This window comes from Homo sapiens, chromosome 7, assembly GCF_000001405.40.
Source record: "Homo sapiens chromosome 7, GRCh38.p14 Primary Assembly".
Classification (NCBI taxonomy): domain Eukaryota; kingdom Metazoa; phylum Chordata; class Mammalia; order Primates; family Hominidae; genus Homo; species Homo sapiens.
Genome location: NC_000007.14, coordinates 48379608 through 48406756, shown reverse-complemented (window position 1 = coordinate 48406756; position 27149 = coordinate 48379608). Strand labels below are relative to the sequence as shown.

The following is a 27149-nucleotide window of genomic DNA, read 5'->3' as shown; positions in this document are numbered from 1 at the left end:
GGACTACAGGCATGCGCCACCATGCCCAGCTAATTTTTGTATTTTTAGTAGAGACAGGGTTTCATCATATTGGCCAGGATGGTCTCGAACTCCTGAGTTCAAGTGATCCACCCATCTTGGCCTCCCAAAGTGCTGGAATTATAGGCATGAGCCACCATGCCCGGCCTCAAAGAGCAATGCTACTGTTTTCCCCAAGACACTGTTTGACTGTTTCTCTCTCTGATTCAGATGATATGTTCCTCCAAAAGCTGCGCTTCCCACATTCGCCCCTTGTCTATTTTAATAATAATAATGATAACCTGTCATTGATTGAGCGCACACATGGTATATACAGAACTGTGCACTTTCACATACAACTGTGCCCTCTCACATCCTATGAGATGGTACAATTGTCTCTATTTGCAAATGAGAACACTGAAGCTCAGAAGCATTTGATCATTTCTGCAGGGTCACATGGGATTTGTAGAGCAAGTGCATACCCCAGAACAGAAATTTAGTTGAGATGTGCCAGTTTTCACCGGTATTTTTTGCTTCCTTATTTATTTTTCCATGGGAGACACAGAAATACTGGTACCAGGGCTGATCAAGAGCCCTCACTGTACATAACTAAGCAAGAAACACACACAAAATTCCAGGTAGACTGAGCCCCCACTGCACTGGTATTCCGACAGAAGAGCTCTTTCTTCTCAGAAGGAAGTGTTTGTTTCTGCACAGTCCTTAGATCTGTCTCACAGAGCTCTATGATTACCTAGAGGTTTGGGCTGCTTCAGAAATGGCTATACATTTTGATTCTTGAAAACACATTTTTCTTCCAATACCGCCTATCTAATCGCTTACATACTATTGATTTTGCACTTCAGTCAGTGCAGGGATGATTTCAAAAAAGTCCTCCAAAGACAAAAAAAATTGCTAAACAACGAAGGACAGTGAGAAAATATTTGGTTTGTAACAACAGAAACTGAAGAAAACTGTCTGTTTCTGAGACTTTCATTGTATCTATTTTTCTGTCTAAAATAACCTTTGTGCTCATTACAAAAATGTTCTGTCAGCTAAACCTTTGAGACTCCAGCTCTAATTTTTAAACTAAACAAGAGTAGTGGGCTTGTGGTATTTAATTTGCACCACAATTCACAGGTGCAGAGACAATGTTATCTATTTGTCTATCTCCCATTGATCTTCCGCATCAGTCCCCAGCCAGGGTAGTGCGCAAATTGTTTCGTCCAGTTTAAATCGTTGCATCTCAAAATTTAATCAATCTTTTGAAGTGGTGGTCAGTATCCCATGTCTGCCCTTTCTATGTCTTTCCCCAAGAGACACTTAGGTAAATGGAGTCAGGAGTCTTCTTGATCTTGTGGCAACGGGGAAGGGTTCGAATCTTTGGGTGCAATGTGGTCAGGGTCATCTGGTGTCTGGGTGTCAACCAAAACCACATGGCACTGCCTGCCTCCCCACCTTGGCATTTGTAGCTTGGACTCCAAAGGGGTCAGGCCAGAGCAGAGTGCTCCCAGGCTGTCTAGGCCTCACAGTAGGTCCTGCTGACTGCAGACGGCTGAATCTCTGCCCTGGCTTCCAGCCAGCTAGCTCCAAGGGGTCCCCTACTTCCATGGCAGCATGCCTAGCAAGCCCTGTCTTTCAATGTCAAAGTTCATGGGCATGAAAAGGTAGGGAATACCAGCCCTCAGTGCCTCACTGGGACCTGGATTTCTGCTGAGCCTCGTGAACTCCGATGTGGCTGCACCATGATTGAGGAGCCAGCACCGCAGATGTGGCCTGCACTTTTCTAGTGCAATTGCCCAGGCCAGGCCAAAGCCCAGAGTGGAACAAAAAGTCACATCTGCTTGCTCAATTTTCCCACTTCTATCTATCTTCTCCTTCCATAATTCCAACAAAATTGTGGGACAGAAAGAAACAGATTGATCTTCTATGCTCCCTTTTGTTATTTTTCTCCTTTCTGACTCCAGCCTATGGTTAAGCTTTAAGTGACAGACTGGAGTACCTTTTCTACTCCAAAGATAGAATTTGATGGTCCAAGACTTCTGGCCTCAGCCCTCTATATGCTAAGAAAAAGAAGGACTCTTTCTTGTTATTTTTCCTTTATTTCTTCCTTTGCAAATCCTAGTTCACCTCCAGGGAAATGGAGACTTTAGGTTAAGTCAGAAGAAAATTTATACTCAAAAGGCAAAAGAAAAAGCAAAATAACATTTTATGAGAATCTGTATTAATCCTGCCACTGATGCCTCTACACTTATTTACCAGCACCAAGATGTGTTTTACTGTTGCAATGTTTCTTTCCAAAAGGGAGTATTCTCACAGAAAATACATAGAACAATGCTTCCTAGCTGTCAGGATTGCAGAAAGAATCAGAAGTTGGAAATTAGTAACTGCCCATCAAATGTCCTAAATTGGAAAGAAACAATAATAGATGTGAGAAACATGGACAAGAGGTTCAACATCCACCCTCAGTTCAGGAAACTTTCTCTGTAGCTACAAGTAAATCACATGCCCGTCTCTCTGAGCCTTCATTTCTTCATCTGAGACAAGGGAGGCTTGTCCTATGATCTGGGATGCCTCTTCTAAGAAACTATGCTTCCAGAAGAAGACAATTTTCCTTGAAATCATGTATGATAATGTATAATGTACATAGATGTCATTGCTGTTATTGAGTTAAAAGGTCAAACACAAAGTAAGCAATTCTAAGCACTATAGAGATGTTATCTAACGAATATATCCCTATAAGTGCTTTTAAAAATTTATATTTTTCTGAAAAGGATAATGTAGCCTCACTGGGATACAACTTGATTCTACTGTACAGTAGCAATGCATTTCCTGCAACACAATATTGTGGGAAGAGAAGGCAGAATGAGGCCCAGTGCCTACCTTCTCGGTACTTGAGCAGAATGTCCCACAGGCTATGCCGGGAGCAAGGGTCCACCCCACTGGTGGGCTCATCCAGAACCACGGTCCTCGACATGCCCATGAAAGCAATGCCAAGGGAGAGCTTCCTCTTCAGGCCTCCAGACAGAGCTCGGGTCTGTTTGTGCTGATGCTGAGTTAAGTCCACATCCTGAAGAGTTCTGAAATTAGAAGAAAACATCACTCTTCTCCCTGAACACCTTAAAACTTTGCTTCTAATTTCACTCCAGAAATAATGACTAACAGTGGCTGAAATCGTTATAAACCACAAATATATCACAGAGGTGTGGATGCTACACACACGTGAGTCTCACCAGAGCAGCATTGACTTTCTTCAGGTTCAGATGGAACCACGCCAAGGGACACCAACCGTGATGCAGACCAGCAATATCTGCCCAGAATTGTGCTTGGAAATGCTTGCATTGTCTCCTCTCTGGAGAAGCATGTCTCTCATTTCACTCATACCTTCTGCCAGGGAGGGCCCTGCATCCCTCTACAGGGTATGGAGTATGGTGGAATGGCTGATGTACCAGTGTGGTCAGAAGAAGCAAGGCAGGCCCAGCTCTACTGCTCAGCAGAGAAGCCCTTCACTCCCTGGCCACTGTCCACTAAATCTGGATCACCCGACCTTCCTGATTAATGCAGATGTTCCAGTGAAATGCCACGTGCAAAGTATAAATTATCATTTGCTATTAATGTAAGAACAAGTGTCCTGTTCCGTTGCAGGGATCTTTCAGTCTTAGGAGTTCCAGATCTCAGATACCCAGTGCAAAGCCTTCCCCATGTGAAACTTTACCCCTCTTCCAGGGATCCACTCTCTTTTCTCACAAATAACTTCCCTCACCACTGTGGCCCTGTTAACTCTACAGGAATACTTACTGCCCTCATCACCTATTTACCATCTTACTCATTGTTACAAACCCAGTTTAAACAATGCCTTCCTGAAACCTTCCCTTGACCACTCAAACCAAAGTGGAGTGTCTCCTCGGAGCTGCAGGCATGTTTCTACCTTCCTGATAGCCAGCAGCTGAAGTCATGGTGCCATTTTGCAGCCAGAGAGAAGGCTAGACAGGCAGAAGAGGATTTGACATGTTCCAGACAGTTGAGCTTCAAGAATAGTTGGGGCCTGGAACATTCCAGAATTCCAAGCAAAGAATTGGGTGAATCCCATTTTCTGCCTGATGACTAAGTAAATATTTAATGTAAATACTTCCCATCCTGAACTAGAAAGAGTTCAAGCCCACTTCTTAGGGTTTAGTGTTCACTCTGTGCACTTAATGTTTCATCCAAGTCTTATAGTGCATTTTCTGCTGGTTAAATCTCAACCTAAATTTATAGTAATAATTTATGCTCCTGTTTTTCATGTGTTCCCAGTGTGGACAACACCCTATTGGAAGGAGGAAGACAAATGTTTCCATTTCACCAGGTAACTGCCTAGCCCTGCAATCTCCCAACACATTCCCAGCTGCGAGATTCCAATCTAGCAGAGGAGGTCGATCTATTAAACTTAGCACATTAACCAGAGATCAGTCAGCAGAGAAGACAAATAGACAAGAAAACAAGTCAGTAAGATGTCAGATGTTCTCAAACGTGCATGTTCTGGTTACCTTTCTGTGTTCAACCCCAAACCCCTCCTTCTTCATTTCTTCCATTGGTACTACTTGGGATGTCTATGGTACCCTCTGGGGTGGCCCCACGCTGCTGCCTCATTGTGCACCCTAAGCAAGCTGGAAGCCTACCTCCTCTTCATACACCTGGCATTGAACTTCAGGAACGCTTCTGGCCCCCTGCACTTTGTCCCCACCTGTGCAGTCCTTCACAGAACCTTCACTACACAGGTGTCAAACAAGATGTAAGCAAAAGGGACCAACCATGCTTCTACAATCAAATTTATGCAAAGAAGCTGGGGCCTGCTCTCTATTATATCTTATGCAACTGGTTAGCATTAAACTGACCGATCTGGTTCACTCTGTATTTTTACTTCTGTTTTTAGTGGAGGCCTGTTTTCCTGATGCACTTTGAATTTCAATATACAAACACATTTTATGGACAATTTTGCTCCCCATAGTGTGTGTGTGTGTGTGTGTGTGTGTGTGTGTTTTAAAATTCTTGAAGCCAAGAGCAGTAGGTAATAATGATAGGGTGGAGGAAGTGAGGATGAGGGTATTTCATTCATGTGTATTTTATAAATTCTTGCAAGATTGCACAAATGGTCTATAGCATCATAGGTGCTGGTTGCATATTGGGTATAAAGGTAGGGGCATCAAAGAGCAACGAAGCACAGGTCCTTCTGCAGGAAATCAGAGTTATCTAGATAAATCATGTGTATATATCCAATTAGGACACAATGAGATAAATGTTACAGATGAAGTATAATCAACATGCTATGGGAAGCTCACAGGAGATGGTGAGTTATTGGTCTTGGAGAGGTCCAACTTAAAGTAGAACTTTCTATCACATCACAATACTGTAGAATCTATAATTCTGAAGAATATCATTCATTCATTTCATAAACGCTTTCCTACAGAGGAAATCCCAGTCACTTTATTTTATTTTTTAAATGTTAGCTCCAAGCCTAGATAATCATATTTAACATTTATTAGACATGTATCATACACTGGGTACTACTAGTCTAAGTGCTTTGTGTGTATAAATTATTATAATCCACATAACCTCCAAATGAGGGTCTTCTCATTATTAGAACCACATTGTATTTGGAAAACCCAAGAGAGAGATAGCATATATTGTTAAAAGCTTTCTAAGTGGAAGAACTGCATTTAACCACTAGCACTCTGAAGCCAGAATACACACTGGCATCCACTGGGTCCCTGTGACACGTATCATATGTACCTGTTAAGTGTCTCACCCCCCACATGGACTGGGGCTTCCCCAAGAACAAGCCCCTTTACTTATTATGTCTGTTTTCCCAGAACCAGGCATGGAGGCTGAAGATAATTAGCACTCATGGCATTTTAATCAGTGAATATAATATCCACTAAGGTCAATGGAAGTAAAAGTCCTTGACTTATTTTGTACAGAATGACACATTCCTAGGACTCTAAGCCACTGAGGCATTGGCCAGGGTCAGCAAAACAATGTCTGAACACCTATCATTGCAGCAGGAAGAGAACCCCATTGCAAAGCCCAGTCATTTCCACTCTGCTGGTTTCTGGGCATTGTTCATATGCTTAGAGTGGACTTAAAAATTAAAGAAGACAGCAATTTGTAAACACTGGCCAGAAGTTTTTAATCTGTTGAATTTTTTTTAATTTTAAAGTTATTTAGAGGCTAGTGTTTTTCTAGTTATTGATCTTATACATATCAAAAAGAAGCAAATAATTTTTTCAAAGTTACATTTCCAAATTCCTTCTCAAAAGGACAGGATAATCCTCTAATTGAGAACATTGCTAGGCAGCAGGGAAAGGAGGAAAAGATATTTTCTCCTATTATGACCCAATTATGCACCAGAGAATGTGTTTCAGATGCTGCTCTTTAATCATCCATTCATTTATTCAAGGAATGTTTACTGAACCCCTACAATGCCTGGCACCTGCCACCTGCTAGGGCTAGAGAAATAAATCAAATCTTATCCTTGATTCAAGAAATTCAAGGTCTAGTGGAAAAGACAGGCAAGAAATTATAATAAGAGTATAGGTAAGTAGGGTAATGATAAAGTCCCAGGAGCTATAGGGATTCCCTCTGACTCCAGAGACAGTGGCATATGAAATCAGTCAGATGGGTAGTGAGAGTAAGTGAAGTGGGGATGCTTGAACAGTGTGTTCCAGAAAAAAAAAAAAAAGAGGAAAGCACTTGCCAGGACCTGGGGGAGAAAGAATAGCATATGCAAGGAACAAAGAGATTCTGTCCTTGAAATACATGGAAAACCATACAATGACCTCAGATAAGACAGGAGAGAAAGGCTTGAGCCAGAACACATACCCATCATAAATCCTGTTCTATAACTGCTGTTTCTTTCCTTCACTGGGTCTCCATGTGGGGCAGGTGTCTCCTTTTGTCTCACTGTGACCTTCCCCACCTCTGCTGAAGCCCCCAGCCTTGAATCTCAGGTCATCTGAGCATATCATCCACTGTTGGGTGTTGTTGTCATTGCTGTTGTCATCTACCCATCCCTGAATCTGCTCTTGTGCACTGTCTCTTTCTTCAGCTCTACTCTTATCATTATTCTTAGAGATTTTATTAGTATTTGTTGTAGCATATCCTCCCTTCACTCCACCAATCCCATTTACTCACAACCAAGTTACATCCTAGACCTTGTAATTTCTAACAAACACATCTTCTCCAGGCTCTCAATTCCATGCATCCTCTTCTGACTAGTTAACTTTATAATCCCTTCTGTGCATGCACTCTACCTTGAAAAACAATGAAGCTAATGGAAGTACTCACAGACTCAGCTCTTGGTCCTTCTATTGTAAGTGAGCCTGCTGTGCTCTCAGGAGAGACAACCCCTTGTCTCTTGTCTAAATCCCTTCCCCTGTCCCATACAGAATAGTGTCCCAGCAAGCCACCTGCTCTGTAGCTCAATCCAATTATTCATTCTCTACTGGGGCATTCTCATCTGTGTACAGATATGCTGCTGTGATTCCTGTCTTTGAATTATTTGAATGGAAGAGGAGCATTTTTTCTCTTGACCTCACTTTTCCTTTTTGACACTATCATATTTCTTTGCTTTTTTTGCAGCAAAACTCCTAAGATGTGCTGCTGCCAATTTCTCTTCTTCCGCTCTTTCTTTAACTGACTCTAATAAGACCTTCATTCCCTTCACACTACTAAAATTGCTCTTCCAGAGGTCACTAGAGCCCTCCACATACTAAATCCAAAGGCCATTTTTTAAGTCTTCATTTTACTTGACCCTCAACAGCATTTACGGTCTGATCACACCCTCACCATTAGTGGACTTGGTTCACTTCCTTGTCTTCCACCTTTGCTACTGATTTCTCTTTCTTGCCTGCTTGGCTGTTTTCTCCCCATCTCTCCATACACTCCATGTTGGAGTGTCCAGGGATCAATGCTTTGTCCCCTCTTCTAATCTTCCTTCACTTATGCCCTCAATGATCTCATTACTATCAAACAAATGTACCTCCAACCTGAGTTGCATGGTGAACTCCAGAACTCTAAGTAGTAACGTTAACTACATAACAACATCACACTGACTTAAAGGTCTAACAAAGTTCCTCTCTTGACTATGCTTATCTTCTTTAGGCCAAATTAAGGGCAAAACAGTAATGATCTGAATCTTGACACATGTTTACTCTAAAGATTCTAGCAGGGATGCAACCTCCCTTGAAGTCACATTTTAATGAAGCTACACATTAAGGAAACCAAGCGGTGATACAGGAGAGTAATAGGGAGCATGTTGGATCTAAATCAGATGTTTGCAGTTTTCCCTTTCTCTAATTGAAGACTACCATCCTAAAACATGATCTTATTCTGGTTGCTTTTGTGCAAATTGGCTTTGTTGCTAGGTAACACTCTGTGCGCTGATAATCATTAAGGTTGCCTGGCACCCAAAAAAAGATGAAGCAAATGTAGCATTGTTAGGTGTTTGATTTAAGCTCCCAATCTCAATCACAATAGAGTTTACTGTGGTCTAGGGTAGATGCATTTTAAAAAATTACAATAGGTAACCTATGACTTGTTTTAAAGAAATCAGGTTGGACATAGCCAATTTGCTATCTCATAATATATAGTCCATAAGATACCTAGCTATTTCTCGTTAAGTACCCACTCAAATTTAAGACAGCTTTCAATAGTACAAACTAAATATTTTCCATGTATATCCAAGTGTCCACTGTCATTAACATTATTACTATTTCCAGCCATTCTCTGAAGACAGCACAAGATGTGAACCAGCCACCTTCCAGTAGAGAATGCCCTCCAGTAGAGATTATGACAATAATGTGAATGCTGAGCGGGGGACAAAAGAAGAAAGGATGATTTAAATAAAATGTATAGTATCATCCATCACTTTAACAATGGACTTCGGTCCCTCAAGGACTTTTTCCATCAATTCAGGCTTAATTTGCACATGGCCCTCACAGTGTCAGCATCCATCCAGAAGGAGATTTGGCTTTTTCCACACATGCATTTATAGTATAGCTGGTCTCTAAACACAGGCACGAATTTCAATTTGAGATCATCTAAACAAATACTGATCCCATCCAAGTATGGAAAAATAAAACTGTGCAATGCAGTGGTGCATTTCTAGAGAGCCACTTTGTCATTTTCCAATGCTGCTCTCCACTAAAAGATTTTCAGGGGTAATGTGAGCATGGTTTTCCCCAGTGCCCTCCTTTCAGACCCTGACCCCTGGGTAATATGTGCCTCTACCATATTCTTTTTTTTTTTTACAATTTTAATTTTTTTTATTATAAGGAGTTTTTTGACACTTTGAAAGAAATGAGTATATATTGCAAATTACAATTTGCAGTATAAGAATTCAGTAAGAAAAAAACCATTCATTTGGCTTATCTTGTTCAGAACTTGCTGTGCTCCCTAAAACTGAGGATTGATGCATTTCAACTCTACAAAATTCTCAGGCAATATCTCTTGGAGTATCTGTTCCCCTTCCCCATTTTCTCTGGAACTAGCAATATGCTGTATTCTCATGTCCTCCAGGTCTCCTAATTTTGCGATTCAAAACTACAAAGAATTGATCAATACAAGGCCACAGTGCACTCATCACACTCAAGAATCAGCAAACTCCCAGCAGGGCTCAACCCACAAGAACTGAAGCTAATCCATCAATCTGATAGAGGTAAGCAAATTTAAAATAATTCAAATATAAAAGGACACAAAAACAGACACTATGAAAAGAGAAAAGCCTCTACCGTATTCTGTGTTTGTGATCTTGTTTTGTTTCGTATCTCCAAAAGAATGTTCATAATACTGCCTCATTTAGCCCCTCTAGGATCCCGTGTTTGCAATCTGACCTTACTGGGGTGAGATTCCTTCAAGAGAAATGCCCCAGAGGCAGGTTCCACAATGCACCAGCGATCCTTCATCCACACGTTCCCCACTGTGGGTTGCTAGTGACACACCTGCCCTGCCTGCCAAGTTCCGAGAGTGCATTTTAAAGCTACTGCATTCACTAACCCCAGGGAGAGCAACTGTTAACAAATCACCTTCACTTCTCAGACTCATGGAATCCCCAATGAGGGTCCGTACTCCCATTAGGGCATCAACACTAGAAATGTGCTAGAGAATCTGCCCTCTCTCCGCCTAGTGGGTTTTGTCTTTGCAGAGACCATGCCCACATGCTACAACGTAGTGGCCAGCTTGAAAGAAAGGCAGCAGAAGGCACTTTGCATCTGAGAGTCCTAGGTCAGATCCTGGCTTCCCTCTCCGAGCTGCATGGCACCATCTCCTGGAGCCTCTGCCCATATCCCAGGGAAAAGACACTTGAATGAGATCACTCATGTAAGTTCCTGGCACATATCCACCATAGCGGCTGGCACAAAAAAAAGATGTTAAACAAATGAAAGTCCTCCTTTATACAATGTAGGTAGCCATTGCAGAGGTGAGGCTGGAAGCAGAAGGCCCCTCTGGCCATCTGAGAGAGCCCACAAGGGGCTTCTTTCCTGCCCTGGCCCACATGGCCTGCACAACATCCCAAGGCCATGGTGGGAGGGGATCTGGTCCTTGAAGGATCTCAGGATTTGGGCACACCAAGGAAACTGAGGTAGCAGTGGAGGGGAGGGTAATAAATAAGGAAAACCAGCATGGGCAGGAGCACAGGCCGGCAGTGCCCTGGTGGGAGCCTAGCACCACAGCTGGCCTCAGCATCAGAAACCTCCAGACTCCTTCAACTCACATCTCTAAGACAAACTCATCACTTTCCTCTCCCCAACTTCTCAAATAGGCTCTCTCTATACACACAGCTGACCCTTGAACAATGCAGGGACTTAAAGCACCACACTGTACACAGTCAAAAATCTGTGTATAACTTTCAACTCCCCAAAAGCTTACCTACTAATATTCTACTGTTGACTGGAGGCCTTGCCAATAATGTAAACAGTCAGTTGACACCTCTTTTGTATGTTATATGCATTACATGCTGTATGCTTACAATGAGGCAAGCTAGAGGAAAAAAATGTTATTTAAAAAAGCTTAAAGAAGAGAAACTATATTTACTATTGTCTAACTAGAAGTGGATCATCATAAAGGTCTTTATCCTTGTCATCTTCACGTTGAGTAGGCTGAGGAGGAGGAGGAGGAAGGGGAGAGCTGGTCTTGCTATCTCAAAGGTGGTTGAGGCAGGTCAGGCAGAGGAGAAGGAAAGGTAGCAGAAGAGGTAGGCACACTGGGTGTTACTTGTATTGAAAACATTTGAATATAAGTAAGACCTGCAGGGTTCAAACCTGTGTTGTTCAAGAGTCAACTGTATGTTGAAAAACACTGTGCTTGCCTGAGCCAGACATCTGGGGAATACCATGGACGCCCCCTCCTCTCTTATTCCCCATTGGGTCTGCATCTCCCTTTCCTCCTCACCCTACTGGACCTCTCCTGGCCTAATCTGTTCTTAGTGCAGGAGCCCCCAGCTCTCCCTGCGACTTGGGCTCACCCCAGCCCACCCCATCCTCCACCTGCAACTGGAGAGAGTGTGTGAACCATCATTAGACGGCCATCGTATCAGGTGCTCAGCACTCTCCAGAGGCCTCATGCCCATGGACAGCCTAAGGAACAAAACCTAAAATCTTGCAAGGCTTAGGAAGCTTCTGTAATGTGCCTGTGCACAGGCCTGCAAGAGAGAGGCCTGTGGACGCTCTAAGCTGCACATGCTGTAACATATTGCAGCCCACCCACTGCAGTCAACCCCAGTTCATCCTTACTCATCCTGTAGCCTGCTGCTCAATCATTACCTCTGCTATGACCCTTCACCATACAACCAAGGGCAGCTGACCCCCTGCACCCACTTCACACACCCCCCAGTAGAGCTTATTCAGCTTCATTGTTTGCACCTGAGGTTTCTTTCTGAACTCAAGGGGGTTGAGGGATAAAATAAAACAAATATGGTGCAGTATATACTGCTCAAGCGATGGGTGCACCAAAATCTCACAAATCACCACTAAAGAACTTACTCATGTAACCAAATACCACCTGTACCCCAATAACTTATGGAAAAAATATAAAAATAAAAATTGAAAAAAAAATCCAGTTATTCAACTCAAAGAATGCTTATTATACTATAGTGAACCAAACAGACTACGTCCCTGTAGTCAAGGGGTTTGCTATCTGGTGGAAAGAAACAGAAGACTAATACACAGAGGCTGTCATGAAATGATAAATGTCGTAAATAAGAGCCAGAGAAATAGAGGGGACTCAGGAGAGTGAGTGGGAAGTTGTTCTGGACAGAATGCTCAGGAAGTCTGCTCTGGTAAGATGGTGTCTGAGAAGAGCCAGGACGGCAGTGAGGCAGGCTACACACGGAGCCCATCACAACACGAACGCAGCGAAGGGCCTGTTCAGTGTGCTCAGGGATCCACCATAAGACCAGCGCAGCAGGCACCACACAATGAAGGATCAGGTAAAGCAAGAGAGGCTGGCAGGGCTTTATAAATTTATATTCCAAAGGAGGAGGGTTTTGAGGTGGAAGGGGGCACTCATAATAAATCTGAGACAATAGGCACAAGAATGTAAATTACACAATTGTAGGCCTCCATACCTTTAGATTATACCTCAAGTGATGTGAGTCCTTGAAGGGCAGTTGGCAGAGAAGGGCCAGGACCTGGGTACATTTCTAAGGAGCACTCCATGTGGAGTACTGAAAGCACGTGACATCAGGAAGCTAGACCATGATCTGGGGAGAACAGCTGGGGGTTGGGTTTGGGGACAAGATAAGCTTTGCAGAAGTGAGCCAAAGGGGCTGGAGGAAAGGGTAGAAGAAGCCGACAGCAGGCAGGAAGGCCAGCTGCAGCCCTGGCATCTCTACAGAGGCATGATGCAGGGGTGACCTGCAATGGCAGGGATGGAGAAGCAAGCAATGGCACCTGGAGAGGCCAAGTAAAAGGAAGGGTGGAATGGAGCATTCTCATTGCAAACGTTTTACTTGGTCTCTGGTCATATCGCCAACGGCACATGGAATGTGTGACAACTTTAAGACTCATTCTTCTTTTTCTCAGTGTTCCAGGGCTAGAAACACCAAGGTAGAGCTCCACCATCATGAAGCACATAGCGGAAAAAGTGGTAAAGAAATAAGGTTACACCATACAAAACAACACCCAAACCCTGTGAGCTTTCACCTTAATTAAATGCAGATTGTAAATACTTATTTATAAATGTAAAGCTTGCAAAAATATTGTAAAATAACAATATTCTGTAAGAATTCATGACATTCACATTTTCTTCTTAGGAATGTGCAGTCCATTACCAGTTATACTTACATGCTTGCCTCCAAGGGCCCCTTCCCCACACACTCACGCCATGGTTGACGTTCTGCTTTGCAAAGTCCATCCATTGGAATTGCCAAGCATGCAGCACTAGCCCCAGGAGGCCAGAGCCATGCATCTTCCTGAGGGGGCAGAGCCCAGCACAGGACAGACGGCCTGCACACTTAACTACCACTGTTTGCTGAATCGATGACCCCAGCACTGGATTAATGTTTCTATCTCCAGCTACTCTCCATGACTTTCATTGCTCCACTTCCCCTCCAATCCATGCTTCCATGGTCATCACCCTCAAACACCACTTTGTTCTCTAATCAGGAACCTACTGTCTCTCCCTTTTACCTCTGGTCTAAACTTCTATCAATGTCCAATGAGCCAGGGCACACTGCCTGGATTTTGCCTTGCTTCCCATCCTGGATACCCTACTTCCTTTCCACTTCTCCCCACATATTCTCAACTCTAGATCTTCCTTGTGCTATTCCACTTTCATATAGGGTTCAGCCCCCCATGTGGACCAACCAATGTCCTACCAATTGTTTGTGACCCTACCGGGAGTTCTCTGCTCCCTGCCTTGTGCAACCAGTTAGTCAACATGACCTGATTCTTCTAAATTTGAATAGTCTTCAAATACAGGCCTTCCTGGCCCATGCACCCCAGTGGCATGACCATAAATCAGGCTGTCACCACCTCTTGCCTACACTGGCCACTCTGTATCTAGTCTCTCCCATGGCACCTGCTATGATCTAGCAGGAGAGATCTTCCAGATCTCAGGCTAATCACAGTCCCCCACTCATGAACACCTACTTGCTCAGTGAAGTTCAAACTCCTTAGCATGACTAATAAGGCTCTTTTTTTCTTAATCTTTGTGTGTGTGTGTGACAGGAAGGAAGGAAGGAGTTGAGGAAGAGCTAGGGATCAAGGAGAGAAAAGGCAGACTAATCAGCTTCTTGACAACCAGTTTTCCCGCTGCCTTTGAATTCTTTTCATTTCAGGACACCCCTAGGGACCTTTTACTCCAGATACACAAAGTTTCCATCAACAGCCTCTGTGCTTACATGTGCTCATCTCTTCCACATTTCAAAGACAAATCAAATCAAATTCAATGCCTTCCCACAGAAGCCTTTTCTGACATTCTCAGTGTTGGTGGCTGTGTCATAATTCCATAGTTAACAACCATTTGCTAATTATTTCATCTTATAAATGTAGACACAGATGATTTTTTAAGTGTCTCTTTCTATTGTCTTCACTTCCTTACACAATGGGCAGAGGCAGGAGGAGCAGAGAGACAACTGTTTACTAACTGATTGACTTGCTGATGCAGCTCCTTCTTGGTCCACTGAGGCGCCTTTATGGAAGCAAAGAGCAGCAAATGTTCCCGGACGGTGAGGTTGTCCAACAGGATGTCCTGCTGCGGACACACACCAAGCTCCATTCTGACCCTCGACAGGTCTGTCTGTAGGTTCTTGCCATTGATGATGATGGTTCCAGAAGTGGGAGGGTGGAGCCCCGTCAACATGGATCTGCCAGAGAAAATAAGACAGCATGGAGAATACGCGTTGCTGATACTGTGAACGTCAGCAATCCAGTCAGCTCCAGGATGGCGCATGCATCCTGCCAAGAGCACTCACCTTCTGCTGACCTGGTTTTTACACAATCAGTTAAAAGGTGTGAGTAGTTTGAGGGTACATTGGCTGGTTGATGTTGAAAATGTGAGTTTAACATGTTATGCTACCACATGAAATAAAAATGCTCCTTGACTTCTGATTGGGTTATGTCCCAATAAACCCATAAAAAGTTGAAAATATTGTAAGTCAAAAATCTATTTACATCTAACCTACCTAACATCACAGCTTAGTCTAGCCTACCTTAAGTGTACCCAAAACATTTACATTAGCCTACAGCTGGGCAAAATCATCTATCACAAAGCGTATTTTATAATAAGGTGTTGAATATCTCTTGCAATTTATTGAATATTGTACTGAAAGTAAAAAGCAGAATGGCTGTATGAGTCCTCAGACTATGGTTTCTACCTAATATGTATCACTTTCACACCATCATAAAGTCAAAATATCATTAAGTTGAACCATTGTAAGTCTGAACTGCAATCATAGAGCATTATAGTTGTATGGGACTTTAAGATGATAACATTCAACTTTTTACAGATGAGGAAACATGCTAAAGAAATGACATATATACCTAAATCCTCATCATTAAATATAAGCAAAACAGAGATACAAAGCTAGGCCCCAACCCTGGAGCCAGTCTTCTTTCCGCTGCTCCCGGGATAGTCTGTGTGTGTTAAAACCACAAGAAATCAAGCAGCCTGCCACCACAAGCTCACATGACCGACTTTACCAACAGAAGCCTCAGAATTGCCTAGTTCTGCTTCCTTGTTTCAGGAAGTTTATTATTTAAGTTTTAAATTGGTTTCTTATTTCTGAAAAGTTAAACATGCCCCTACCACACAGGACCTAGCAAATCCACTCCTTAGTATTTACACATGAGAAATTAAATGTGTGCCGACACAAAGCTGTATGCACAAATGTTCACAGCAGCTGTGTTCACAATCACTGACAAAGAGAAACAACCTCAGTTGCAACCCATGGATGAAAACATAAAGAAGCTGGGTTGCCTCCATATGGTGGATACCACTCAGCTGTCCCAAGGAGCAGGCTGCTGGGCCACCACCACCATGCCTGGGTCCCCAAAACAGTCTGCTGAGTACAAGAAGCCAGACATGATCCCATTTACAAGAAATTCTAGAATAAGTAACCTAGTTTTTAGTGACAAAGAGCAGATCAGTGGTCACATGAAGGCCAGGGTCAAAGGAGAGCACAGGAAACCTTGGAGCAGCATAGAAAGGTTCTGTATTTGTGGTGCTTGTTCCGGCACTAACCAAATGTGTCAAAACTCATCAAACTGTACACATCAACAGATACTGTTTACTGCACAAAAATTAAACCTCGATGAACTTAAAACTCTTTGCTATATTATTTTCAAACCTATCTGGGGGATACTATAAAATAGTTTATACACATTCCCTAGAAGTCTCAAAGACTGTTGTTTTAAATAGTGAAGACCCCCCCGTCTTTGACTGACCTCTCAGCCTTTCATCTAAGAATTGCCAGGTGGAGGCAGCCACTTAGGATGACTCAAAATGTACTACAAATGTACACTAAAAGCAACACAGTCATTGAACTTTAAATCATCTAGAAACTCCAAATGCAATTCTCATCATTCTGCTAAACAAGCAGCCCAGGTTTTCCTTGTAAGAAATGTGTCTTAGTAAAAGCAGGGTGAGAGGAACTGGCTGGCTGAGTCATTATTTGTGCAACTTGTGGTTTCCCAATTTTCAAACACTAAAAAAAACACTCACACGCTTTTCCAGGTCCATTTCTGTATCCAAGGAACAAATAAAAACTGTCCATATTCTTTCTTTCTATTTTTTCAGTATGAGATTTCTGAAGTTTCATGTGTTATTTTTCTACCTTTCTTATTAAGTCTGAGGCAAAGCCCTCTTCATTGTTTTAACTAATCACACTTTAATACTACATATTTAGTGAGAAAAAGAACAAAAGAGAAAGTGATTTGTTCAAAAGAGATATTTCATAATTTTAGTAGTTTAACCTTAAACCTCCACTTCTACAGCCAGCCCAAGGCTGTGAATGTTTGAATTCATTGTTTCTCTGGGAGCACATGATTTGATTCTTTAATCAAATCTAGAGCCATTGAATCCTAAACCAAACATCTACCCTTAATGAGAAAAGAACCACACAAAAACCAGAACATGGAAAAGAAAAATAATCAGGTGTTTAAAAAATTTGCAAGTACCACTGTGATATTCCTCTTCCTACAGATATGCAAGCAAGATGATACTTAGTAGGACAAACGCTGAAAGTGCCAAAGGACTTTCAAAGACTAAAGTACAACATGGTAAATTATTTGTAGAAAATACAAGAATTAAGCCTTTTAAAAAGCTATCCACCACTACCCCTTTGACTGAGCCCCAGGCCTACAGTGCACCTGTGCGGTTGAAGACATAGGGCCTCTCTCACACGGGCACTCATGAGGGGCTCTGCCTTTCACCCGTGTCTCTAAACTCTGTATTGAGACTCAAAATTTTAAAAAAAGGAAAAGAAATCAAACCTTCTGTCTCACAGGTAAACTGAAGTTTTAAGAATCAAATGCCCAGTGTTTGATAAGGGTAAAATGGGACCCACATGATAGTGGTTTTCCCGGCACCGTTTGTCCCCAGCAGGGCGGTGATTTGGTCTCTGTAGAAGGTCAGGCTGAGGTCTTGGACCACAGCCTTGTGGCCCTCATATTCCTTGGTCACAGACACCAGGGTGACTCCCGGGGCACTTCCTTCAAGCTCTCCTTCCCTGTTTTGCAGTGATGACCCTGTGAGAGAGATGAAAATTCATTGTGAAAAGACTTCAAAAGCCCTAAAAATAATGCTCATATTTATTAATTCAGCATTCTGCTTTGAAATTGAATTCCAGCTCTGTGAAGCACACAAATCAACTCAAAAATCTTTCTTTAGCAAGAACAAGAAGCAGACTATATAATGGCAAACATTAAGTGATATCACTGATTACAAAGTTTTGAACCCTTATGATAACCATTTTGTAAAAAATAAAAAAAATAAAAACACACACATGTATTTTTGTTTAAGTAGAGAAAAAAACAACAGGCAGATTAGTTACACATAAAATGTTCATGAGAAATAGTCTCCTGAGGACGTGAGAGTGGATAGGTGCTTGTTGATGTGTTCCACATTTTCTAAAAGATTCATAATTCAGAAAAATATTTAGATTGTTTAGATTAGAATGTTGACTTGTAATCTAAACCCACCACGATGGGAGCTTGTTTATCTCTGAGTGATGCATCTCTATTTCCATGGAGATGGCCTATGGATTCATCCTTTGGCAGAGGTGCCCTGTGCCTGCACCTGCAGGAACAGGCCATGACTCTGGAGTGCAGAGGCACAGGGACAGTCCTGCCCCTATCTCCTGAGAACCACAATCCCTATTTGTAAGGGACAGTGATATTCTCCCTCACACAGGAACACTGAATAAACCAGCATGGGTGAGAACACTTAAAAATTTTTAAATGCTTTACACAGGGTAGCTGCCCATATTTGCTTTTATTTCTTACACATATTCATTTTGGGACTAACGCTTCAATTTTTCTAAATTGTAATATACACACAAATGCACATAATGCACAGAGGGGAGGACGCTAAATAATAATTAATGGGAACTCCCTGGGTTTCCTGGGTTTCACAGAACAAACACTGTCATGGCATACTTTCCCACATCTTGGGCTTGCAGCTGTTTCCCAGCCCAAGACAGCCTAAATGTAAGTCTCTCTAGGAATCAGCACACACTTGAAAAGGCTGGACCATAAAAACAAACAAAAAAAAATCAAAATGGATCAAAGGAAAAATACATGCATCTAATAATTCTACTCCTTACAAACCTTTATTGTCAAAGTTCTCATTGAAGAAGAACAGACTAGAACTTAGAAAGTATTGCCTTTTCTCCACCAAGAAACCCACACTCTTCCAATATGAGGCAGTAAAGGGGAAATACCATGGTTTCCGTAAACCAAATGTTCCTAAAAAATGAAACAATTAAAATTAGTTTAATTTTTTATTTAGATGAAGGTACTGTATTAGAATATCTTAAGTAATTAATATAAAATGTCATCCCATGTTAATATTTTTAATATATGTCCCATATACAAAATGTGATATCCCAGGGCACAGCTATTAGTTTTGCAGTGGAGCCCTAACTCTCCCTTCTCGGCCTGATCCACAGCCATGTGCTAAAACCCCCTCTCAGCCACTTCCCCCAAGACTTTATCTTTAGAGTAGGGGTTCAATACATGCTTTTTGGATAATTGCTGAATATTCCCAGAGTAAAGTCCCACCCTGCCCCACACTGCCCTTCTATTTTGTGATTGTTCTTCTTTTGCCTATCTTTGATGTTTGCATGGATTCCTAGACAAGAGGAAGAGCATGAGGTAAGTGTAGGAGGGGATTAATCAATTGAAATTTCCATAAAGAAGAATAATTCATAATGCTAACATTTCCATATGAAACACGTTACCATTCTTCAAAAGTATTCTCCAAATTCATTTCAGCCCATTTAACAGTCACTTTGCCCTCATTACATGTTGAAATGAAAAGGGATTTCATTATTAACATTTCCCAATTTTCTTTTAACACATCCATTCTAGTTTAAGTTTGATGAACGTAACTTACCTAAAGGCCTAAATTCTACAACTGATTAGAATTAAAAAGGCTGATATAAAGACTATTATAGCACTTTGATCATCAAGCAGAAGAGAGATATGCAAGCCCTCGCACATTCTAATCAAAAAATAGAAAGAGATGTTCATGCACTCAAAGGAGAGCACATGTATCCATTACCTTTTGAAAGTAAAGGGAAGGTCTGCAAAATTTTCCTCCAATTCTACAGAATGGGAGACATGTCTGTTTACTCTGTCAATAGTTTCTTTTGCTGTGCAGAAGCTCTTTAGTTAGATCCCATTAGTCAATTTTTGCTTTTGTTGCAATTGCTTTTGGCATCTTTGTCATGAAATCTTTGTCCGTGACTATGTCCTAAATTGTATTAACTAGGTTGTCTTCCAGGGTTTTTATAGTTTTGGGTTTTACATTTAAGTCTTTAATCCATCTTGAATTAATTTTTGTATATGGCAATAAGGAAGGGGTTCAGTTTCAATTTTCTGCATATATCTAGCCAGTTATCCCCATACCATTTATTAAATATAAAATCCTTTCCCCATTGCTTGTTTTTTAGGTTTGTTGAAGATCACATAGTTGTAGGTGTGCATTCTTATTTCTGGGTTCTCTATTCTGTTCTGTTAGTCTATGTGTCTGTTCTTGTACCAGAACCATGCTGTTATGGTTACTGTAGCCCTGTAGCATAGTTTGAAGTCAGGTAATGTGATGTCTCCAGCTTTGTTCTTTTCGCTCAGGATTGTCTTGGCTATTCGGGCTCCTTTTTAGTTCCATGTGAATTTTGAAACATTTTTTTCTAGTTCTGTGAAGAATATCAATGGTAGTTTAATGAGAATAGCAATGAATCTACAAACTGCTTTGGGCAGTATGGCTATTTTAATGATATTGATTCTTCCTGTCCATGAGCATGAAACGTTTTCCATTTGTTCTTGTCATCTCTGATTTCTGTGAGCAGTGGTTTGTAGTTCTCCTTGTAGAGATCTTTCACCTTGTTAGGTGTATTCCTAGATATTTTGTGTGTGTATGGCAGTTGTGAATGGAAGTTTGTTACTGATTTAACTCTGGGCTTGACTGTTGTTGCTGTATAGGAATGCTTAACTATGCATCTGACAAAGGTCTAGTATCCAGCATCTATAAGGAACTTAAATAAATTAAGCAAAAAACAAACACTCCATTAGAAAGTGGGCAAGGGATATAAAGAGACACTTCTCAAAAGAAGACATACATGGGGCTGATAATCATATGGAAAAACCTCAACATCAATGATAATTAGAGAAATGCAAATCGAAACCACAATGAGATACCATCTCACACCAGTCAGAATGTCTATTATTAAAAGGTCAAAAAATAACAGATGCTGGTGAGGTTGTGAATAAAAAGGAATGCTTATACACTGTTGGTGGGAGTGTAAATTAGTTCAACTATTGTGGAAGACAGGTGGTGGTTCCTCAAAGACCTAAAGATAGAAATACCATTTGACCCAGTAATCCCATTACTGAGTATATACCCAAAGGAATATATATCATCTTATTATAAAGACACATGCCCATGTATGTTCTTTGTGGCACTATTCATAATAGCAAAGACATGGAATCAACCTAAATGGCCATCAACAATAGACTGGATAAAGAAAATGTGGTACATATACACCATGGACTACTACTATGCAGCCATAAAAAGGAATGAGATCATGTCCTTTGCAGGGACATGGATGAAGCTGGAGGCCATTATCCTTAGCAAACTAACATCGTTAGCAAAGGAACAGAAAACCAAATACTGCATGTTCTCACTTATAAGTGGGAGCTGAATGATGAGAACACATGAACAACATGCACTGCGGGGAACAACATGCACTGGGGCCTTTTGGAGGGTGAAGGGTGAGAGAAGGGAGAGGATCAGAAAAAATAACTGATGGGTACTAGGCTCAATACGTGGGTGACAAAATAATCTGTACAATAAACCTCCATGACACACATTTACCTATGTAACAAACCTGCACATGTACCCCTGCACTTAAAAGTTACAAAAAAATAAATACATAAAGTGAAGGGAAGCTGTTCAGCTGCTGTGAGGAATAGCACTGACTTTTCTTTGTGGGCTGAGTTGTATCTCCGCAGGTTTCATATGTTGAAGTTCTAACCCCCTGTACTTCAAAATGTGACTGTATTTGGAGACACGGTCTTCAAAGAGGTAATGAAGGCAAAATGAAGTCACAAGAGCGAGGACTAATCCAATGTGAGTGGTGTCCTCATAAAAGAAAATTTGGACACAGATACACAGGAATGACACAAGGAGACAATGCCATCTGCAAGCCAAGGAGAGTGGCCTTGGGAGAAACCAGTCCATATATATACCCACATACACAGGCCTACACCTTGATCTCAGACTTTTAGCCTCCAGGATTGTGAGACAACACATTCCTGTTGTTTGAGCCACCCAGTTTGTGGTACTTTGTTATGGCAGGCTGAGAAAATTAATGCAGGCAGGTGTCCTCCAAGAACCTTGCAAAGCAAAAACCATCCCTCTGTAGGAAGAGGATGAGTAGCAGCTGGATAATCAGGTCATATCACAGCCAGCATTCCACTCACTGTGTTCCAGGCACTGTCCAGGGTATCTGGTTGTATTAATTCACACAGTCCTGTGACCACCAACATGTCAGGTAAAATTATCACCTCTACCTTCCCAATAAGAAAAGGAGGAACAGCAAGGGTTGCCCAGTGACGCGCAGCTGATGGCTCCAGAAGCTACACACTGGTTAGCCTCTCCTCTAGCAGCTCCTGCCTGTCTGAACACGCAAGTGCAGTCATGAGGATGCTTTGGGTTGCCTTTTACAACAAGAAAGAAGCACAGTTTCTTCCAGTACCAATTACACGAAAAGCCCCTGTTGACACATACGTGAACAATGAGTGTGTGGAAATCAAAGGAGACAGAAAGCAAGCAAACACATCAGGAAGATTATTCTCACAAAGCTGCAGGTCTTCGGCTCAGAGGCCTCTCAGGCAACCACACTCAGTCGCAGCTTAAGTGGGCACCACCCTTAGCAAGGATAGTAGGCAATGGGATCCAGATGCCTTCAAGTGTTTATAGATTTGAATTAGCAATTAAAATTCTAGGATTCTAGATGACACAATGACAAAGTGGGGACACACATCTGAACATAAATATATTCACTGTAGCATTACTTATAGTGGGGAAAAAGCAGAAATTATTTAAACTTGCAAAGTAGGAGAAAGGTCCAGGAAGTTATTACTTTCATTTAATGAAATGTTGAGCAGCCATTAACAGTACTTTCAAAGATGTGGATAAATGCTTATGATAAAAATATTTTTTTAAAACAGAGGGAAATTTACATATACAGTGTGAACCCAACTAGGTGCAGAAAACTGTCTGGAAAAAGCCTGGGAAATGTTAGTTCTGGTTGGTGATATTGGAGATAACTGAATTTTTTCCTGCTTCCTCAAAAATTTTTCCTGCTTCTCTATAAACTTTTCAAACATTTTACAATAAACACATATCCATCTGATGTATTATAGCTCAATTTTTCAGAACCATAGGGGAGAAAAGAATATTTCATACATGCACATTCTAAAGGTGAAATAAGGCACAATTTGCCTGTTCCAAATGAAGTCATTGAACACCTTCACATTTTGAGTGTACGCAAGGAAATCCTGAAGCAAGCCTCAGCTCTGCTTCACTTCGATATAAGTGGAAGTCGTACAAAGATAAATATGATTTCAAACTTAGGGCCATGACTCAAAGTGAAGATCACCATACGTGTGTGTGTGCACACACATACGTATACCCACATACATATGCACACACACAGGCATTCACACACGAGTACACATGTACACATGCACATATTCATGCAGCACATGCACACATGTACATGTACACAGACACAAGTGTGCACACATAGACAACTGCAACAATGTCAGGAGTCACCAGTTTCTTGCAATGGAGCTAAGACATTACTCTTTATTAGTTGTATCCTTGTTTTCTCACTTGAGTCTTTGGGAAATGACACCTTCCTGCAGCCCTGATTTACTGTGGGAGATGCTTTGTTGAGAAATGAATAACTAAGCATTTTGTACAGAGGTATGAGGAGAGATGCTGGCTCATCTCCCAGGGCTCACAGTTCCAGCTGTCAGCCCAAGAATGAGTAGGACAGGTGAGGCCTCAGCACAGTGACAAAGGAGCAGGGCAGAAGTCACCTAGATCTGGAACATCATATCCCTTGCCCTTCTGTTCTCCGGATTATACCTTCCTGTTCCAGGAAGATGTCAGTCATCAAACAGAAATCAACTAGTCACACCCTCTAGTGGTACGAGGGACACGCCAATGAATCAGGCAGAGACTGCGCCTTCTTATGACCTTCATTCTAGTACAGATGACCAAAAAAAAAAAAAATCATTGAGAGAAGAATACAAGATGATATTGTCATCATAGGTTTCCACCTATGCAAAACAAAAGCAGGCCCTTCAACCCAAGAAAAAGGAATGAGAATGAAAAGACAGAGATGCTGGGAGGGATGCTAGATTCAGAAAATACAAACACAGGATGTTCAATTAATTTTGAAATTCAGACAAACAACAATTAATGTTTTAGTATGAATATGTCCCCCAAATTATTTGTAGTTTATCTGAAATTTGAATTCACCTGGGTGCCCTGTATTTTATCTGCCTACCCTGTGTGGGTGTGCTGGGCACATTGAAGACTGCCCCCCAACTCCCCATCAGCACAACGGGAATAGAGAGAGGGGCGTGAATCTGCAGCAGAGCAGGTTCGGGTGGCCTGAGAGCCACTGAGGATATTATTTATTCTCTAGACATTTTGGAGTTGGGGAAGACTGTCATGCAGGGGAGGGACATGGTCTATTTGGTCTATTTTTAAGAAAGATAACTTTGTGTCAACATGCAGGTAGGATGCAGAGGTGAGGTGCTGGGGTCGGGGATACCTAGAGGAGTAGGAAGGAGTTACAAAGGCACTGTAACTCGCTGTAAGTCCAGATCAGGCACAGTGAGGCCTGAACTAAGGTAATGGCTTCAGGGATGGGAAGTAGAAACAAACGTGAAAGACATTCCAGAGTTATGAAAAAATAAATTGAATATTAAGGGTTGCTTTGCTAATTAAACCATCTCAGCCATAATCTGTCTGGACTTTTAAAACCCCCTAATTAATCTACTAATCTAACTAAAGCAGAGAGCTGCCAAATGCAAGCTGGCGTGGAAGCCGCTCAGCTCTTTGGCTTGCCTCTGCAATCGGCTTTTGCTTATAAATTCAAATTTGTTTTACGTGCACACTCTAGAAGCACATACAACCTGCTCACATTACCAGATGTAATTGGGCACATTAATATGTGCAAAGGCCCTCCATTTACACAGAGCTTTTCTCCTCAAGGGGAACTGCCTGCTGGCTTATGCAGGCCAGGAAACTAATCAGCATTGCCCCCCAAAACTGACAGTGATAAAAGAAGAGGTCAATGAAATTAGACAGATCGAGCAGAATCAAATTTAATTGGAAGCATATAAAAAGAGTTTATGCAATGAAAACTCTTCGAGAGGACCAGATGTTTGCTTGTGAGCTCTTGACTCGAGCGTGGAGACCTGCAGTTGACGCTGAGCCCCGCAGGCCAGGAAATGATCTGATGCTGGATCTACAGAGTCTCCCAGTCAGACACCGGGGCTGAGAAATGCTGGGGTCATACTCACAGGGTCACTTTATAACAAAGAAAGAAAATCGAGAGAAAAGTATTTGTCTGAGGTATGGGGTGTGTGCGTGCGTGTGTGTGTGTGTGTGTGTATGTGTATGTGTGTGACAGAGAGCAAAAGAGAGAAATTTCTCACCTGCCTCCTGCCTCCTACCTCCCATCTGGAGACACCCTCCTACCCACAGGAGACTCTGGAACAGTGTTTTAAAATATAGATTTTATTATTACTCAAGTATGATGATGCCAACAAATCAGGAGATAACTGTCATTGAAACTACACTTTGTTACTCACAGACCCCAAGAGAAGGAGGCATGACACACCACACAGGGTCACACAGGGAAGCACCAGTGTCAGTCAGGAGACAGGGGAAGTAGGGAGGGGTGCTGTGGGAATGTGAACAAGAGCCTTTACTGTGGTTTTCAAGGGAAGGAACATGTGAGGAAGGGCAAGTACATTTCTAATTAACTACTGTGAATAATTTCATCAGGCTCTTCGGGAGAGAGTCTGTCCCTAGTTGGCTGGTACCTTGCCCTGGGCTGATCAGGCCAGGTGGACAGTGACCCCGAGTGTGATCGCCCCGTACAGCAGGTGGTAGGGGCGTGGGCTCTGGATTGGTTTTTTGCTTGTGAAAGGCACATCCACAGGTGAGTCCTTTACTATGGCTAGGAACTGGCTATCCCTGGAAGGAACAGTCCCTCTAGGGTCAGTAACTGCACTCCTTCAACCCCAGTCAAAGCCTCAAAAATACAGAAAATAAAAAAGTATGATTAATACAATGGGGATGGTACAATTGCCTTTAGTGTGCAGATGCCTGGGTTAGTTGATACCCTACAAAGTGCAACAAAGAAATGTCCTTGACTTGCCTTCTGTGAGCCTGATCACACACAGCCGTGCAAATGCAAAGTGTTTCATGGTTATTGAGCCTAGGACATATAAACTCAAAGTTTCCGTGCAGTTTCAGTATACACTAAATTTTTCAGAAATTCAACCACTGTGTAAACTAGTGGAAGATTATTTTTTAAAGCAGAAATTGTCCATTGTTTTGGAAAACAACGCCATCAATAGTGATGTCACTCACTGCGTTTGAGTTTGCAATGCAGTATGTCTGTATCAATCTTCATTCTGCCCCATTATATACAAACACATGACAAAAGATGTGAAGATTGCTTTTAACAAACTTAAAACCAGATATTCTTGAATAGTAGAAATTTAGAAAATGCACTAAATTGTATTAATAAGGGTTAGTAACTATGTTACATTGTCATTTGATATATATATTTTAAAACTGTATAGCACAATAAGACCATTTGGTGAAAATTACACATTGAGATGATTAACATGAGGCTCCCTATTAGTTTTCAATCTTATTTTGATGCTGTTCCCAGATATTCACCCCTTGGCTTCTCTATAAAACCCTCTTATATTATTAATATTATTCCTTTGTCCAATCAGTCCTCTATTTCCTGTCACTACTAAAGAATAGATCTCCAACGTCTTTAAAGACTGGAGGCTGAATGGAGAAACTGAAATGAGATAGAATTGTAAGACAGAAAATGGATCTTCTGTTATGTTTTGTCATTACCTGCCCCATGTGTTAACAAAGGGAATTTCCTGATTACTTTTAAATAAAGACCCAGGTCATTTACAAAAATATCATTCTTTTATTCACTTCATTCATGTATAATATTTCTTCCCACGTTTTTCCTACTTCAACTGAAGTTATTTTCATCTTTATAATCACATACCAATAAGTCTGATCTAGTACTACTTAATATTAGCTTTACTTCTAGTATCTACATTTCTCTTTACTTATGCATTTTCTTTCCTTTTAGTGCCAAATGGCTTCTGACCTTT

At 41.6% G+C, this 27149-nt stretch overlaps 1 protein-coding gene across 25 annotated transcripts in view; it reads right to left on the bottom strand.

Moving 5' to 3' along the window:
• Positions 1–27149, bottom strand: part of ABCA13 (ATP binding cassette subfamily A member 13) — a 476040-nt gene that overhangs the window by 240741 nt on the left and 208150 nt on the right. For 22 of the 25 annotated variants that reach the window (XR_926914.3, XR_926915.3, XR_926919.3 and 19 more), the window contains 4 exons: positions 18798–18935; positions 17537–17717; positions 14618–14836; positions 2878–3074 (listed from right to left, as the gene is read on the bottom strand). Coding sequence is in view for 22 of the 25 variants with exons in the window: in XM_011515130.3 (XP_011513432.1) it covers positions 2878–3074; positions 14618–14836; positions 17537–17717; positions 18798–18935 (735 nt within the window). In the remaining 3 variants the exon portion in view is untranslated. Of the gene's footprint in view, positions 1–115; positions 2398–2877; positions 3075–14617; positions 14837–17536; positions 17718–18797; positions 18936–23501; positions 25303–27149 lie in introns of those variants that run through there. The other 3 variants (XM_011515143.3, XM_011515133.3, XM_011515145.3) reach the window with 3 other exon arrangements.